Raw genomic sequence first — 16,673 nt, forward strand, 5'->3', positions numbered from 1 at the left:
TTTTTTTTCTGGCATAGGAGTGTTAGAGTTGCCTTAAACTATATACCCTATCTGAATGAAATATTTAATATTCTCTACCAGCCCTGATTTTTTTCCATTCTTTGTGCAGCCTTCTGTTGTATAGAGCATTTTGTTTCTTCTCAAAGTTTAAAATTTGAGAGCCCTCACCTCAAACTCAGTATATTTTAAGCTCAACATCCTCTCCACATTGCCCGTGCTTTTCATTTGTTTCATTTCTTTCCTTGATGCCACCATTCTGATCTCCCAGGGTAACATTCAAAACCTTTGAGTCATTTTGACTCTTCCTTCTCCTTGAATTGCCCTGTGTCAGTCTGCCCCAGAATTATATCATCATAGTTTCTGAAATATCTCTTAGATTTTTCATTTTCTCATTCCTATTTGGCACCACTCTAGTTTGGGTTGCCATCATCTCCTGCTTGACTTATTGCCACAGTCTGCTGCCTCTCCCTACTCCAGTCCATCCTGTGTGCTTGTGCCAAACTAATTTTCTTAAAACACAGTTTAATCATGTCACTTTCCTGCTGAAAACCTGCATTGGATATTAATTAGCTCTGAGTTTCTGTGCCATCTTCCTTCAATCTCAGAGTTCAAGGAGACCCTCCATTTGTCCAATGCTCACCTGTCCATTTGTGCCTTCCATACCTTTCTCTTCCAGCCTCCTCCCAGATCTTGCTCAACCAGGCCTCCCATCTCTCCAGTATTACCTCTCTCAGCCTGTACCCATATTCAGTCTCTAATTTTTAAAAAACAAAATAAGACAAAAGCCTTCCTATGCCCATGTTCCCTTTAGCTACTATCCAATCTCTCTTTCTTATCCTTCAAATTTCTAAAAAAGTAGCTACATTTACCTTATCTGTTTTCTCTTTACCCCTCTCTGATCTGGATTCTGCTACCAAAACCACAGAGGAGCTATCCTTAATTAATATCACTGTGACCCTCTTGTTGCTAAATTACTGGACATCTTTCATTCCCTATCCTTCAGGTTCTCTCTGCTGCATTTGACACTTATGATGATTTCTTCTTTTTCAGAAGCTTCTACTCCAGGGTTCACAAACACACAGGCCTTCAGAGGCAAGGCAGGTCACAGAAAATAGTGCAGCATAAGGAGACATGGGGCTTTAGTTGAACTGAAAGTTATACGTCTCAATTAATGGTATTCAAATTCTAATTTAAGAAAAAACATTTTGCCAGCCAAAAAAATCACAGAACTCCTTGGCCACTTCATTCTCCTGGTGTTCCTTTTATTTTTCTGGCAGTTTCTTAACTGTTCATTCATGGGCTTCTCTTCCTTCTTGACCCTTAAATACCAGCAATCTCTAGAGTTTTGTTCTCAGCCCACTACTCTTCTTATTCCCTGCTCTCCCTAGATGGTCTCATCTTACCTCTCATAGATTCAGTTATCTCATGGCTCCCAAGTAGGGATTTCTTTACCAGTCTCTGCGTGGGCTCTTATCTGGGCTTCTTCACTCAATAGCTTACTGTTATCTTAAATTTGACATAAACAAAAACCTCCCGACACCCCTCTCATATCCCCACCCCCAAATGCTCAAAAAAGCCTTCCTATTTCTGTATTCGCAACCTCAGTTGAATGTACCTCCACCTATCCCATTAAAGCATGCTTGGTTCTCCCCACTCACACTTCCCACTGCTAAGCAATTAGCAAATATCAACAATACATGGCTTAAGAATTTCTTCTTTTCCTCTCTACCACCACTTCATTGATTCAGGACCCTTTCACTACCCTAGCTAGTCATGTTGCCTTCATCCTTGTCATCCTCACATCCATCCTCCAGCCTGCTGCTAGATTAAGACACAAAAAGTACATATCTAATCAAACCACTTTTCCTACTTAAGATTATCTTGTGGTTTTTCCCTTCACCTGCAAGATAGAGACTAAGCTCCATAACAGAGCATACAGAAATGGACCCTGTGTATCTATCAGCCTAAACTTTTGCCATTTCCCTTACTGCTTGTATGTTCCTGTTCACAGCATGCTGTTTTTTTTTTTAATCTCATTGCCTCTGCTCAATCTGGGGCCTCCACCTAGAATGCTAATATTCACCTCCCGTTTCCCTGGCTCCCATTTCCCTGGCTCTCTGTATGTCACCACCTTCTGCAAGTCTTCTTTTTTTCCACTAAATTGTAAATTGCAATGACAAGAACAATTTCTGATTCCCTATGAATCCTCAGTGCATAGCACAGTACCTGACAAGAGGTGAGTTGAATGAATATTGGTTCACTTTAGTAACACTCAGTGTGCCCACGTAGTACAAACAATACTATAGGCCCTCAACAAATACGTAGTTGAATCATGCTGTGGAGAGCACTGGTTTCTGAGCATGGATGTGTACGAATACAACAATATCACCAGTACCAGTATCACCAGTGATGGCGTTTATGGCATGAGCTTACCTCTGAAAGCTTTGTTAAGCTATCCCCTGTGTGTCAGAGTATTATCTTAATGTTTTGGGTTTCTAGTTACTTTAACAAGATATTAATCTTTTAACATGAAATTCATTATGATTTCTTAAGAAGTAGAATGACCTAATCATACTACTTGTATTTCCAATTCTGAGATGATGATCATAAATGGATATTAGGAGATCTTTTTCCAAATTTTAAAAAATATGATTATATTAACTCTTACAGATTTGAGACTATAGAAAGAGAAATAATGAAATGTCTCTTGGAAGTATTGTGCTTCAAAAATATTATACATCTGAATAATATAACAGTATCACATTTCTTCTTGATATTTTTAGGATAAGTATTTGGATCTAATGTATTGAAATACAGAAAAAAATATTACATCACATGAGGTTTTTTCCTTATAGACATTACCACCCTCTTTGTATTACTTAAAATAGATAGATGTTTACCATTGATATTACACCTGCATAAAAATTAGTAGAGACAGCATATTACTGATCCTCAGAGGCTCATAACATTCTCATTAAAATTAATCTAAGAAAGCTGAAGTTATTAGATTATATAATTGAAAAAGATGGCCAATTTTGCCAAACAGTGCATTTCTCCAAAAACTTAGCACTACAAATATTGATAACTTCTCAAATCAGGGAATGGAATGCCTTTTCTGTAACAGTTGTCTGAGAAATTACAGTGATGATTGTTAATTTGTTTTTATATAAGGTGAATTTTTTTAAGGTTTTAGGCTTTGAGAATATTGAAGCCATGGTAACTTGCCATTGTATAGTGTGGAAAGACATTTTTCCCATATGAAATATTAAAGAGATTTAACTAGAATCTTTTAAAAATCTCCTTTTGTTTTGTGGCATAGCCTTTTCCTTGGTGTAGCAAATAGAGTTCAGTGCACATGCTTCAGAATCAGTATTCCTATAAGTGCATGGTTTTCTAGTGAAGTCATGTCTTATTGGCAGAATTTTACGACATTTTCTTAAACAAACTGAGTACGTGAACTTTAATTTGTGCAAGATTTTGAAAGGCTGGTATATAGCCATTTTCAAATATGAAAAATGGTGAGAGGTATAGGGAGGGAGACAAAAGGGAAGAGGAACTAAGAGTATAGATCCTTTGCCTCAGTTTCCTTTACTTCAAAGAATTTGTCTAAGAAATTAAAAATGTGGGCGTTGAAGACATTTGATGAAGAAAATACAATTATTGAGAACTACCAGCTGGGTCGGCTTCAAACATACAGTAGATTGTATATTTAATGAAGTTGATAAAATGATAGTGTGAGCACTTCCCAAGTGCCTGCTGAGCCCCACATCTTGGCTAATTTCTACCACTGATCAGTAATAAGTAGATGAGTTTGTCTAGCCTCTCTGGACTCATAATTCTTAACTTAATGGTTTGTTTATGAAACCTAACTGAGGTGTTTATTCAGCAGCAGCCATTTCAACATTTTCCTAGTAGCTGCTAAGTGAAATGTACCTAAAGTTATTTAAGTATTTTTTTAGTGTGCTGAGTCTATAAAAGGGAAAGTTAAGGGAAAAAATATCTCATAGGCAAGAACAAGATTGCTGCTGCCTATTAGCCAAAACTATGAGAGTATCAAGCCTACTTTGCCTTTCTTCATACTTTTTTATATAGATACATTTAGGTCATAAGGGAGTATTTTAAGAAATTAAGCAACACTTTAGTTACCATTTCTAATATACTTTTTATATTTTAGAAAAGGAAATCCCTTTATATATTGGAGAAGAAAGTTAGTAATGTGAATATAGCAAGTATTTCTCTAGAACTTGAGCACTGGGCTAAACACTGTGAAGAATATAGAGAAAACAAAGTATAGGCTTTGCTTTACAAAGCTAACAGGAACATTGCCTTTAAGATATTGATATGGAGCAGCAAGGAATAAAAGACAACATTTTGTTAACTGTTGAATTGTATAGTGCACATTAGAAGTGGCTGTGAGTATTCAGAGAAAGAAGGAATCCATGAAGCCTTGGGCATTCAAGGCATTACAGCAGGGGTTGGAACTTGATTTGAGCCTTGAAGGCTGCATAGGACTTAGACTTAAACTTTGGAGGGGAAGCAAGGAGAACCACATGAGCAAGGACAAGAGCCAATGTAGCAGTGACAATGAAGGAAGGGAACATTATGAGAATGATTTCAAAGGAGCAAATAACAGGATTTAGGGACCACCTGGCTGTAAGCAAGATGCAAAACATAGGAGAGGGAAGGTGCAAATATGATACCAAGGTATAGGTTAAAGGAAGAGAGTAATGTGCCATTGATAGAAATGAATTTGAAAGGGGGAACCAGGTTCCAAGAAAATGTAACATTTAGTTTTAGACAGGTTTCACTTAAGGTGGTATTATTTTGTGGCAAGATGTCCAAACAGAAATTTTCAGTATACAATTAAAGATGAGAGACCAGAGCATGTATGAAAATATATTACTAGAGCTATAGATTTGGTGATCGTTAACAGATAAATGATTGTCAAAGTTGTCAAATACAGATGAACTTTTGTAGTTTGCTTAGAAAGAAAAAAAAGCAGAAGACTAAAAGCTAAATTTTGGAAGAAGTATAGAGTCTAAGGGCAGAATGAAAGAATGGGAATGTTAGGAAGGAAGTGATCAACAGTGTCATAGCTGCAAACAAAGTCAAGAGAAAAAGTTCTGAGAAGACATTGAATTTGGCAATAAAGAAGACAAGATGGACTTGTCATTTTGAGTAAATTTACTGAATAAGATATTATTTTCAGCAAAATGACAGTATCAAAAATCAAGTTTCAAAATTTCTTAAGAAAGGAGATATTAGGGAAATGGAAGCAGTGGACAGTTCATTTGTCTGGTGGTAAGTGAAAAGAGAATAGTAAAGCTAAGAATTTTTAAAACAAAAATATTCTATACATTTTGAAGGATATATCTGTCTGTATTGACTATATATTTGATATCTAGTAGGGGAATGACAGCTGGCAAAAGCTAAATTAGCAGCAATTGCTAATCAAGGTAGGAACATGTTACTGTTGTTGCATTTATAAGGCATTTAGACAAGATGTGGAAATAGAGGTCTATTTAAAATGATCATATCTACTTTCTAAAAATGAAAACTGCATCTATGTCTTTGTACATAAGAATTTACTCTTCGTGTAATAATGAATTGCATCTTTTCACTAGTGATAAAGTCACTACTTCACTAGCTAAATAGATTTAAATGAAATATTTCTTGTAATATTAAATATTTGTTATTGATTGCTAAGTTAGCAAATAATTACAATAGGTTTAATACTAGAATATCAATTTCTCAAGAAGCAGATGAAGATTGCCGTAAAAATTCATGCATAGTGGTGTCCCATCTTGTTTTCAGTTTAGCTATACTCTTGTGTCTATGTATTGATTTAAAGGGAATATGTATTTGCATATAATATTCTCATTACATGTTGTACTGACACACCTGAACAGAATTAATGAAGGATTTTTTTAAAATGTAGTTAAAATCTTTTTTCAATTGCTGATTTATTTACTCGACTATTTTAAAATACAGAATTTGTTTTAAAATACATTTTAAACATACATAATATAGTATATTTATGTACAGGTATGTATCTTGCTACTAGCTGCTAAATATAGAGAGTTTTTGTGCTTAAAATTGCCTGTGTCCTTGAAAATGAGTTATTAGCATAAATGATACAAGGACAGTATGAAATTCCTGCATAGAGGTTTTTTTTTTCTTTGTCAAATTTTAGATTTGGGGGATACATGCGCAGTTTTATTACAAAGGTATATTACATGATGCTGAGGTTTGGGGTACAATTGAACCCATCACCCAGGTGGTGAGCATAGTACCCAATAGGTAGTTTTACAACCCTTACTCACCTCCCTTCTTCCCCCTTCATGTAGTCCACAGTGTCTATTATTCCCATCTTTATGTTCATGTGTACTTAATGTTTAGCTCCCACTTATAAGTGAGAACATGCGGTATTTGGTTTTGTTTGTTTCTGTGTTAATTCATTTAGAATAATGGCCTCCAGCTGCATCCATGTTACTGCAAAGAACATGATTTTGTTCTTTTTTATGGCTGCATAGGATTCCATGGTGTATATGTTCCATATTTTCTTTATCTAGTCCGCCATTGATGGACCCCTAGGTCAATTCCATATCCTTGCTGCTATGCATAATGCTGCGATGAGCATATGGGCACGTGTGTAATTTTGGTAGAACAATGTATCTTCCCTTGGGTATATACCCAGTAATGGAATTGCTGGTTTAAATTGTAGTTCTGTTTTTGATTCTTTGAGAAATCTCCAAACTGCTTTCTACAGTAGCTGAAATAATTTAAATTCCCACCAATGTTGTATAAGTGTCCTCTTTTCTCAGCAGCCCCGCCAACATCTGTTATTTTTTACTTTTTAATAATTGCCATTCTGACTGGCATGAGATGTAGTTTTGATCTGTATTTCTCTAATGATTAGTGATGATGAGCATTTTTTCATATGTTTGTTGGCCACTTACATGTGTTTTTTTGAGAAATGTATATTCATGCCCTTTGCCCACTTTTTGATGGGGCTATTTGTTTATTGCCTATTGAATTATTTAAATTCCTAATAGATTCTGTATATTATACCTTTGTTGATACATAGATCGTGGATATTTTCTCCCATTCTGTATGTTGTCTGTTGATTGATAATTTCTTTTGCTGTGCAGAAGCTCTTTAGTTTAACTAGGTCTTAATCAATTTTTGTTTTTGTTGCAGTTGCTTCTAAGGACTTAGTCATGAATCCTTTGCCAAGGCCAATGTTGAGAAGGGTGTTTCCCAGGTTTTCTTCTAGGATTTTTATAATTTGAAGTCTTACATTTAAGTACTTAATCCGTCTTGAGTTAATTTGTGTATATCATGACAGGTAGTGTTCCAGCTTAATTCTTCTGCATATGGCTGGCCAGTTATCCCAGCTCCATTTATTGAATAGAGGGGCCCTTCTCCATTACTCAGATTTGTCAGTTTTGTCAAAGATCAGATGGTAGTAGGTGCGCAGCTTTATTTCTGTGGTCTATTCTGTTCCATTGGTCTATGTGTGTTTTTGTGCCAGTACCATGCTGTTTTGGTTACTGTACCCTTGTAGTATAGTTTGAAGTCAGGTAATATGATGCCTCTGGCTTTGTTATTTTTGCTTAGGATTGCTTTGGCTATTTAGGTCCTTTTTTGTTTCTGTATAAATTGTAGAATAGTTGTTTCTAATTCCGTGAAGAATGATGTTTGTAGTTTGATAGGTATAGCATTGAATCTTCAGATTGCTTTATGTTGTTGATTCTTCCAATCCGTAAGCGTGAAATGTCTTTCCATTTGTTTCTGTCATCTCTGATTTCTTTCAGCAGTGTTTTATAGTTCTCCTTGTAGACATCTTTCACCTCCTTGGTTAGATGTATTCCTAGGGTATTTTGTTTTTGTTTTGTTTTGGCTATTGTAAATGTGATGCCATTCTTGATTTGGCTCTCAGCTTAAACGTTATTGGTGTATAGAAATTCTACTGACTTTTTACATTGATTTTATATCCTGAAACTTTAGTGAAGTTTTTTCTTTATCAGTTCAAGGAGCCTTTTGGCAAGTCTTTAGGGTTTTCTAGGTATAGAATCATATTGTCTGCAAAAAGAGATAGTTTGACTTCTTCTTTTCCTGTTTGCATGCCTTTTTTTCTTCTCTTGCCTGATTGCTCTGAGTAGTACTTGTAGTACTATGTTGAAAAGGAGTGGTGAGGTGGACATTTTTTTTCTTGTTCCAGTTCTCAAGGGGAATGGTTCCAGCTTTTGCTTCTTCGGTATAATGGTGGCTGTGCGTTTCTCATACATAGCTCTTATCATTTTGAGGTACATTCTTTTGATGGTTAGTTTGTTGACGGTTTTATCATGAAGGGACATTGAATTTTATCGAAAGCTTTTTCTGTGCCTATTAAGATGATCATTTTTTGTTCGTTTTTAATCCTGTTTATGTGGTAAATTACATTTATTGATTTGTGTATGTTGAACCAACCTTGCATCCCAGGAATAAAGGCTGTTTGATCGTGGTGAATTAACTTTTTGATGTGCTGCTGGATTCGGATTGCTAGTATTTTTTTGAGGATGTTTGTGTCTATGTTCGTCAGGGATATGGACCAGTAGTTTTCTTTTTTCCTTCTATCTCTGCTAGCTTTTCCTATAAGGATGATGTTAGCTTCATAGGATGAGTTGGGAAAGAGTCCTTCCTTTTCAATTTTTTGGAATCGTTTCAGTGGGATTAGTACCAGCTCTTCTTTGTACATCTGATAGAATTTGGTTGTGAATCAGTATGGTCTTGAGCTTTTTTTGGTTGGTTGGTGTTTTATTTCTGATTCAATTTTGGAACTTGATATTGGTCTGTTTAGGGCTTCAAATCTTCCTGATTCAATCTTGGGAGCTTGTGTGTTTCCAGAATTTTACCCATTTCCTCTAGATTTTCTATTTTGTGTGCTAGGTGTTCATAATAGTTATACGAATATTTTTTGTATTTATGTGGGATAGGTTGTAATGTCATCTTTGTCATTTCTGATTGCACTTATTTGGATCTTCTCTTTTTTCTTTGTTATTCTAGCTAGCAGTCTGTAAATCTTGTTTATTCTTTGAAATAACCAACTTTTGATTTCATCGATTCTTTGTATGGATTTTTGGGTCTCAGATTTTCTTCTGCTAGCTCTGGGGTTATTTTGTTCTTGTTTTCATAGTTCCTCTAGGTCCTGCATAGAGTTTTAATCAGACATTGGATTCTTAACATTTCTTTAAAGTGACCCTACAACCAAGTGCGATAAATCAGTTAAACAGTACAGTAGTTTATTATTTGACAAACATTTTTCAACACTGATTAGATTTCATTATGCTACTAGGTATAATAGAAAATAGCAAAATAACCCATAGTTCCTGTTTTCAAGGAACTTAATATAGGATAAAATAAGGATTTAGGGGGTCAACATTGGAGTTTTGGTTTCCCCCACTTAATACATGACTGTGGGCAAGTCATTTAATTTATTTTTTAAATTTTTTTCTGGTTGTTAGCTTCTTTGTCTTTAAAATGGGGTTGACAATACTTCTCTTGAAGGCTTTTAAAGCGTAAAAGTAATGTAGAGTCATGTGTCACTTAACAATGGGGATACCTCCTGAGAAATGTATTGTTAGGCAATTTTATCATTGTGTGAACATCATAGAGTGTACTTACACAAACCTAGATGGTATAGCCTAGTACACACCTAAGCTATATGGTAAGCCTATTGCTCCTAGGCTACAAACCTGTACAGCATGTGACTGTACTGATTACTATAGGCAATTGTAACACAATGGTAAGTATTTGGGTATCTAAACATAGAAAAAGTACAGAGAAAATATAAAAGACAAAAAATGGTATACCTTTAATAGGGCACTTACCATGAATAGATGTTGAAGGACCAGAAGTTGCTCTGTGTGAGTGAGTGAGTGAGTGAGTGGTAAGTGAATGTGAATATTACTGTATACTACTGTAGAATTTGTAAATACCATATACTTAGGCTACAATAAATTTATTTTCAAATGCTATTCTTTGTTCCATAATAAATTAACCTGAGCTTACTGTAACTTTTTAATTTTATAAACTGTCCAATTTTTAGAAACTCATCGACTCTTTTGTAATAATACTTAGCTTAAAACACAAACACATTGTACAGCTGTACAAAAATATTTTCTTTATATCCTTATTCTATTAATTTTTTTTTTACTTTTTAAACTTTTTTGTTAAAATCTAAGACACAAACACACACATTAGCCTAAGTTTACACAGGGTCATGATCATCAATATCACTTCCACCTTCACAGTTATCCCATTGGAAAGTCTTTAGGGACAATAATCACGGAGCTGTCATCTCCTGTGATAACAGTACCTTCTAGAATACTTCTAAAAGGGCCTGCCTGAGGCTATTTTACAGTTAACTTTTTGTTAGAAGAAGGAATATATACTAAAATAACAATAAAAAGTATACTATAGTAAATACATAAGCCAGTAACGGTCATTTGTTATCATCATGTATTATGTATTGTATGTAATTATATGTGCTATACTTTGCTATGGTGGCAAAGTAAGTTTGTTTATACCAGCATCACCACAAACGTGTGTAATGCATTGTACTACGATGTTATGAAGGCTATGACTATAACATTACAAGGGCTATGACAACACTAAGCAATAGAAATTTTTCAGCTCCATTATAATCTTATGGGACCACCATCATATATGCACTCTATCTTTGAAACATGTTATGTAGCATGTGACTATATTTACTTAGCACAGTGTCTAGCCCATGGTGAGTACATAGTTATTGGTAGCTGTTACTGTTATTGCCCACCTCATATGGAGTTCTCAGTAAATGTTACTGTCTTTTCCTTTTTGCTTACAACCTATCCTCCGCTAATGTAACATTGTAGTTAATATGAAATAGTATCATCTAACATTCAGGAAGTGACCTTTGTTATCCTTGAAATGAACAAGCAAGTGAGCAAAGCCTTATAAAATTCATTTTGACTTCTTAATGCAGATTTCACTGAGTGTACTGGAAAAGAGAGTTTTCAAGTCTGGGATCTGTTTTCTCAAAATTGGTCGAGCACAGACGTGAAAGCCATTCATAAGGATTAAACTTTGAGTATCTGAATAGCAACTGGTCACAAGTAGTCAAACTCTGTAGTTCCAAAGGCTGTATTAGTTGTGGAGGGGTAGTTTTTATTAGGAACATTTGCATACATACACAAAAGTGGAAAGAATAGTATAATGAAATCCCACATAGTACCCATAATCCAGCTCCAACAGTTATCAACTAAAGTAGGTTTTAACGGAAACATCTCAGTTAAAAATGGACACTTCCAGCTCAATATGTGTTTCTCTAACTTATTATTTTTTAATCCTACATCATGAGTTGAGTTAGAATCCCACTTTAATGTTTGCTTTTTGTTAAGCTTTTTAAAAAATATGTTAGTTTGGATTAATAATCAAAGATTTATTTTCTATAAATGTCATATAAAAATTTTTCAGGGCACATTTTTAAATTAAAAGGCCAAAAGAAAAATGCATGGGTTTATAACTTTTTTTTAAAAAAAAGGGAAGATTTAAGTATGCTGGGTAGAACATATTTTGTTCTGTGTTTGTTTTGAAGGTTTGGCTTGAGCAACAAGTTTGATACTGAATTTCCCTCCGTTCTAACAGGGAAGGTAAGTGAGAATTTGCTTTGAACTTTTCAGTTCTAAAGCATTGTTTTATGGCTTACTCATTGTTATGACAAATGCTTTGAATCATTGTTAATGAAGTCAAGTAATAGGAGGCCTCAGTAGTTGGAAGCTGTGTTTATAGTGTTTGAAAGCTGTTGCCATGGCTACCAGCCTCTGACCAGTTATTTTGTTCATTGTCCATTAATGCCAGCCATTATTTATTTGTCCGTTCAGCTTTTTCACTTTTGCATTTTTTTTCTCAGCATAGGTAGCTATAATTGTTTTTATTTGGGTCATTAATTTCCAGTGCTTTTAGAGTTAAAGTTATTTTTTTAACTGTATCACTCTATTAATTTTTAAAGTACCATATGGTATGATTTGTTATACATGAAAATAATTAAATTTTTGATTAGATGTTTTTCTGACTTTTAGATAGTTGGAGTTGGTAAGATTGGACTCACTGTAATAAATTCATACCTTTCTATTCCCTGGTTCCTCTACATTGAGTAGTATTTCCTAGTAAATTCAAAGATTTACTAGGATTCAAAACTATAAATTTAAAGACCTAATGCACAGCCTGATTACTATAATTGATAATATTGTATTATATACTGGAAATTTGCTGAGAGTAGATTTCAGGTGTTATCACAAAATAACAAAAAGGTGACTGTGAGGAGATGGATATGCTAATGTGTTTGACTAATAATTATTTTACTGTGTATATGTACATCAAAACATCATGTTGTACACCTTAAATATATACAATTTTTAAAAAGAAACTATATTTGGAAGATCATCTTATGACAATAATGTGAACTTTCTGTGCCCAAAGGAGAAGGCTCTGCCTAAGGCAAAAAGTTATTTACATACGTTTGTTACTTGAGGAAGTGTAGAACAGGAGAGAAAAACCATTATATTACAGAATACTCAGTCATTGCCAAATGGTTAATAGTTGAATGCTTGGATAGCTAAAAACATGATTAGGGGTTAAAGGAAGTTAACTTTTTGTATTTTGGAGCCTTTAAATTCAACATATTTAATTTTAGTACTAGAATAATGGTATTTGTCAGTATAGATTTTGGTCATATTTTAAAATTATCTCATTATCTAACAGGCTTTTTATTCTATTGTAGTGTCAATTATTCTCATATTGTTGGTGAGAAAAGCAAAATGAAAATCACTGTGTTTAGTATGTATAATAAATTGGAGAAATAAGCCCATTAATAAATGTATTTTTACATAAAGAAATTCTAGAGAGATACACATGAAACTAATAAAAGTTATTACCTTTGATGGGAGAAGAGGAATGTGATGGATAGAGGCAAGGGTAAGGATGAGACTTTTCTGATATCTTTTAGTATTGCTTTCATTTTTAAACCATGTGACTATATTACCTTTTGAACTTTAATTTTTTCTTAATTCACTGTCCCTTGTTCTAAACTCTTTGAAAACCAGATAAGATGCTTCTACTGATATTTGCTTCTTTCTGTCATGGATTTTCCAACTATGTACTCTTTTTGCTTTTGGCGTAATCACAATCTTCCCCCCAGCCTCTTTGCAGGGTAGACAGCAGACCTATTTCTTTTTTCAAGGAATATCTTTGAAATCATAAGAAATTCTGTTTAATTTAACCCTGCAAGGTATGTTACACTTTATTTGCCTCATTTTCCCCTTGAAAAATTGGAGGTAGCTTGAGACAGAATATAGTAGTTAAACAAGCTTTGCAGTCAAATCTGGGTTGGAATCCAGGTTATGTCACTTACTGTGTGGCCTTGTGCAAGTCACTTCTCTGAGCCTGTTCTTATGTGAAAAATAGAGATGATGCTGATAGTTACCTCACTTTTTAAGAGCTAAATGAGACAGCATATATAAAATTCCTAGTATTTTGTCATGTACTTATTAGCTTCCCAATGTTAGTTTGTAGTTGCAGTTGACTATTCTTCATCATTGTATTGTAGTTTCACCCTGGTTGCTTTTCATTCTACTCACTGGCTTTCAATTTTTCATTGCTTTTGCAAATTTTCTTCATCTAATTCTAAGAGAATACATTATTATTCTCTGGCCTCACCACTAATTTGTTCTGTTGACTGTTGACCTTTTCTGTCTCTCCTGAGGTATAATATCAAATCATTTCACAGAATACTAAACAGGTGATCATAGTTCCTGGCTAAGTTAGCCTTAGAGAATATGTGGCCATTTAACATTTTAGGACACAAAGAACCCTTTGGTGTGAGATTTTGGCTCACTCTTTAGTACGTTCTACCTTCCTATCCTGATCAATTGGAGTAATTTACCAATTGAAGCGGCAGCCTATACTTAGATTTGTTTTATATGAATTAATCATAAATGTTTTTTCAAATGAATAAAGTAGCTATGGAAATATATCTTGAATAATAGTGTATTTTTGTAGAAAGATGGCAAATTCATTATTAAAATTAAAGAGAATGTGAATTATAAGAACTTCAGTAAAAAACTTATTCTTCATGTTTCCTTTGATGCTGCTGCATGTGTTGTAGGTGTAGTTATATCCAACTTTACCATTGGCTTTGAAATACAGGTCCAAGAAATTCTAGAAATGAATAATCAAAAAAATATGTCAGTGTATAAAATTCCCAGGCATACAAATTATCCATTTTCAAAATTGGCCAATTTTATATGCTCAAGGAATCTTCAGAATATCTTTTCACACCTTCTCATTTCTTTACAAGCCTTCTGAAACTAAAAATTCCAGTGGCCCCAAAGGTAGTAGACTGTTTTAAACTAGAGGAGTAAGAATAATAAGCTGCTTTTGGTATGCACTCACACAACCTAAATTATCTGGATATGAGCTGCTCATAAATATATCCATTCTTTTCAAGTGATTGTTTTTGTAGCACATTGTCATAATGACTTGAGTATTTAAGTGTACATTATGTATAGTGTACAAAATCTATCATGTGTTGGATAAGGCATAAATTATAACTGTGATATTTTTCTTAGCATGTGTTTGGTGATGGGAAAAACACTAAAAGGAATTCTGAAGATCTGATTTAAAAGTCACATGGTGGTAACATTAGCTTTATTCATTTTCTCATTAATGAGATAATTTTTCTCCGACAGGCACTTTCATTTGTTTAGGTTCCTTTGCATTATCAAAATGCTTCTCAGATAACTGGAGAGAAAAGGCAAACATAATTAATGTATATCTGAGGAAAAAAATAAAAGAAAAAAGGTCTAAATTCCAGACTTAACAGCTCTTACATTAAAATATTTTAAAATGAATAACTGTGATAGCTAAAGTAGAAAAAAAATCTACCTTTTATGAAATCAGTCTTCCAATATGAATGTGATTCTAAATAGCTTTTATGCCTGCCTGATGCCTGAGCTAAGCAAAATTGCAGAGGGAAGTCTGAAAACCTAAAAAAACCATTTTGACAAGCTCTGTAGCTCAATATTAATTTTTTGCTTCTTATGTGTTAATGCTTTTAATGCAAACAAAAAGATGACCTTTTATATTAAGTGCAGAAAAGATTGTTTTCCCTATTTCATATCGAACAGATGTATATACACAGATTCTAGTGACCAGAAAAGGGAAGAACCACAGAAATTTAGAAAAGAAAGTAAAGCTTTTGGCCCTCAGCTTGAAACAATTAAACTGTGTTATGGGGAGACTAGTGTGCAGTGTTTGGGGATTGTAAGCAATAAAAACCGACCTTTACTATTGTGTTACAGTATGACAGCTGATTGATAGGGTTGTGTTCCCCATGACTGAAGAAGGCAGATCAGTCCTGCTGCGGTTTGCTTAGAGTTTCTTCTGTTTACAGAGTCTCTTGCATCCTGTTATAAAATATTATGACCCTTTACCCCACCTTTATGGTGTGGTTTTCTTTTTTCATTCCAAGAAAGCCAAAAGAAATGAAATGTTTCTTTACAACCTACTGTTCAGCTAGAAAGTAAGGGTCTTCTGCTGTCTAACCTTCATTGCTAGAGACACTCAATTATATGAAAGTAAATGAGTAAAATGTTAACTCTGATTCTACACAGTTAACTAAACATTTCTTTCACGTTGTTTAAAATTGAGTTTACTAATTCTCACTTCTTATGTCTTTAGCTCTGTTTTATGACTTTTACTGTTGCTCAGATACAGATTTCTTTCAAAGACAATCCTGGTCTCCTTTTAAAGTCAAAATGCAGATTTTAGTTTATTGTTTGAAACTCTAGTAAAAGCTTTTCTTTTCAATATATTTGTCTTATGACCTCAAAAAAAATTTGAATTCTCATTTTTAGTAACTTGAATATTTTAGTTTTTAATTCGTCTATGGTAAGAAAATAGAAATTGAGACCATTATATGTTAAAAAGAAGAAAGTGTTGGCAGGAAAGAAGGAAAATGACCACATTTTTAGGTAATGTTTTTGTTTTCAATTCCAGAAGCATATAATAAAAGGCAAATTTTATAACAAATTTTATATACCTCAACATACAATTTATTTTATTCACAGTGTTTGAAATAAAAAGCTATTTTCTCTTCCCTCTTTTATTCTCTAGCTTTTGTCTCCCTCAGTCTTCTAACACTATTTCATCCCTGGTAGAAGTGGAGCTTTCTTTTCTAAGGCTCCTTATAAACAATTTTTTTTTTCTTTTGGACTGACTCATTTCTGCACCTTTTGGTTTTATTTTTTTTCCATCTGTGTTTGTACTTACTTTTTAAATAAAAATGTAAATTCCAATTATAAGCATTTAAATTTGTAAATGGACAGATTTAATAATTTTATGATTTGCATGAGTTTATATCAAAATTTACCATATTTAAAAATATGTTAGCTATTCTGGATACATAATTTAAAGAGAGTTGACAGTAATGTAATATTACAGATTAAAGCTAAATATGTTCATATTTTTTCTTTATTTTAACTTCTATTTGGTTGCCCAATGATTCCCTAGGAGAAAAGAAGTTGAATATTGCTGTTGGAGAGGTAAATCTTAAGATAGAAACTTGGTACCTTGTTTTTAGAAAGAAG

General features: G+C 33.8%; 1 protein-coding gene across 6 annotated transcripts in view; it reads left to right on the forward strand.

Moving 5' to 3' along the window:
• Positions 1-16,673, forward strand: part of CHIC1 (cysteine rich hydrophobic domain 1) — a 123,964-nt gene that overhangs the window by 2,636 nt on the left and 104,655 nt on the right. For 3 of the 6 annotated variants that reach the window (NM_001300884.1, XM_017029582.2, NM_001039840.4), the window contains exon 2: positions 11,624-11,678. In NM_001300884.1, the coding sequence (NP_001287813.1) occupies positions 11,624-11,678 (55 nt within the window). Of the gene's footprint in view, positions 1-11,623; positions 11,679-12,920; positions 15,939-16,596; positions 16,629-16,673 lie in introns of those variants that run through there. The other 3 variants (XR_001755699.2, XM_017029583.2, XM_017029584.2) reach the window with 2 other exon arrangements.

Source organism: Homo sapiens, chromosome X (assembly GCF_000001405.40).
Source record: "Homo sapiens chromosome X, GRCh38.p14 Primary Assembly".
Classification (NCBI taxonomy): Eukaryota; Metazoa; Chordata; class Mammalia; order Primates; family Hominidae; genus Homo; species Homo sapiens.